Genomic DNA, 2,168 nt, shown 5'->3' on the forward strand with positions numbered 1-2,168 from the left:
CACTGTGACCACCCGGAAATGAAATGCATTAAATCTATAACTGTCTTTGGAAAAAATAACATCTTTTTTTTTTTTTTTTTTTTTTTTGAGACAAGAGTCTTGCTCTGTTGCCCAGGCTGGAGGGCTGTGGTGTGATCTCGGCTCACTGCAAGCTCCACCTCCCGGGTTCACACCATTCTCCTGCCTCAGCCTCCGGAGTAGCTGGGACTACAGGCACCTGCCACCACTGCCAGCTAATTTTTTGTATTTTTAGTAGAGATGGGGTTTCACCATGTTAGCCAGGATGGTCTCGATCTCCTGACCTCGTGATCTGCCCACCTCGGCCTCCCAAAGTGCTGGGATTACAGGCGTGAGCCACCGCGCCCGGCCTGCAAAAAATAACATCTTTATTATATTGAATCTTTTTTTTTTTTGAGACAGAGTCTTGCTCTCTTGCCCAGGTTGGAGTGCAGTGGCGCAGTCTAGGCTCACTGCAACCTCTCCCTCCCGGGTTCAAGCCATTCTCGTGCCTCAGCCTCCCGAGTAGCCGGGACTACAGGCGTGTGCCACCACACCTGGCTAATTTTTTTTGCATTTTTAGTAGTGACGGGGTTTCACCATGTTGGCCAGGCTGGTCTCAAACCCCTGACCTCGTGATCTGCCTGCCTTGGCCTCCCATAATGCTGGGATTACAGGCATGAGCCACTGTGCCTGGCCCGTATTGAATCTTGTAATTGATTGGCACGGCATATGTCTTCATTTATCTAGGTTTTCTTTGATTTCTGTCCTCAATGGTATATTGTATGTAGGATAGAGATACTGTACTTATTTTGTTAGATTTATGCCATTAAATATCACTTATATCATGTATACATGTATATGTATTTCATTTTAAAAACTATTATAAATGTTATTTAAATTTTTCATTTCCAAATGTTTATTACTAGTATATAGAAATATTATTGATTTTTGTCGATTAACTTTGTAACCTTGCCAAATTAAATTATGTCTTGAAATTTGTTTTTTAATACAAATTCCTTGAGATTTTCTACACAATCACATAATCTGAGAATAGGGACTCTTTTATATCTTTTCCCTCAATCTATATGACTTTTATTCCTTTTTCTCATGATATTACACTGGCTGGGACTTCAATGTGACTTGGAATAGGTGAGGTAGGAGTAGACATTATTGCCTTGTTTCTAGTCTTAGAGGAAGAACATTCAGTCTTTCACTATTAAGTAATATCATGTGACTTGTATAGTCACATATAAGTAATATGTAATATGTTATTACCTGTAGGTTTTTTAAGATGCCCTTTATCAGTTTGAGAAAGTTCCCTTCTTTTCCAGTTTGCTGAGGGTTTTTACCATAAATGTATGTTGAATTTTGCCAAATGCTTTTTCTGCATCAATTATTATGTTCCTATGTTTTTTCTTCTTTAGACTTTTTTTTTCTCAGCCAGCTGTGCTTTATTGACAACGCGCCACTCGGGCCTTGACTGCGTACTTCCGCAGGAGGCACAGCCTCTCCTTCCGCTGCCGCTTCTTGGTCTTCAGGTTCTCCTTGTGCTTGTTGAACCGGCAGCACATGGCGCGTGTCTTCTTAGGCCACAGGTCCAGGGGCTTATACTTCTTGCCCTTGTAGAATTTCCTGAGTTTCTCTTTCTGAGTCTGGTTAATAACCGTGAGAACACGTCCAATTTGCGGACGACTCAAATCTTAGAGAGCTTGGAGGCCGCGCCGCCTGTCACTTTGGCGACGTGCAGCTGGGACAGCTCCACCTTCAGGTCATCCAACTGTTTCAGCAGCTCCTCCTTCTCGTGCAGGTCTCGAGCCTTGATCTTGGCCATTGCTGCATAGGCCACCGCCGCTGCCTGCTCTGAGGGAAAGAGCTAGACTATTAATATGGTGGATTACATGTTTTAAACTGTGGACTATTAAGTCAGCCTTGTATTACTGGGACAAACTGCTTGGTCATGATGTATTATTCTTTTTATATATTCCTGGATTTGATTTGCTAATATTTTATTGAGGATTTTTTGCATCTATGTTGGTTACAATACTGTTTTATAATTGTCTCACTGTCTTTGTATGATTTTGTTAGCAAAATCATAAAGTAGGTTGAGAAGTATTCCTGCTCTTCTAGTTTCTGACAAAGATTATGTAGAATTTGTATATATTTTTAAA

At 41.2% G+C, this 2,168-nt stretch overlaps 1 pseudogene; it reads right to left on the reverse strand.

Annotated features, from left to right (window-relative positions):
- On the reverse strand, positions 1,435 to 1,873 carry RPL35P4 (ribosomal protein L35 pseudogene 4; annotated as a pseudogene).

Source organism: Homo sapiens, chromosome 7 (assembly GCF_000001405.40).
Source record: "Homo sapiens chromosome 7, GRCh38.p14 Primary Assembly".
Taxonomy (NCBI): Eukaryota; Metazoa; Chordata; class Mammalia; order Primates; family Hominidae; genus Homo; species Homo sapiens.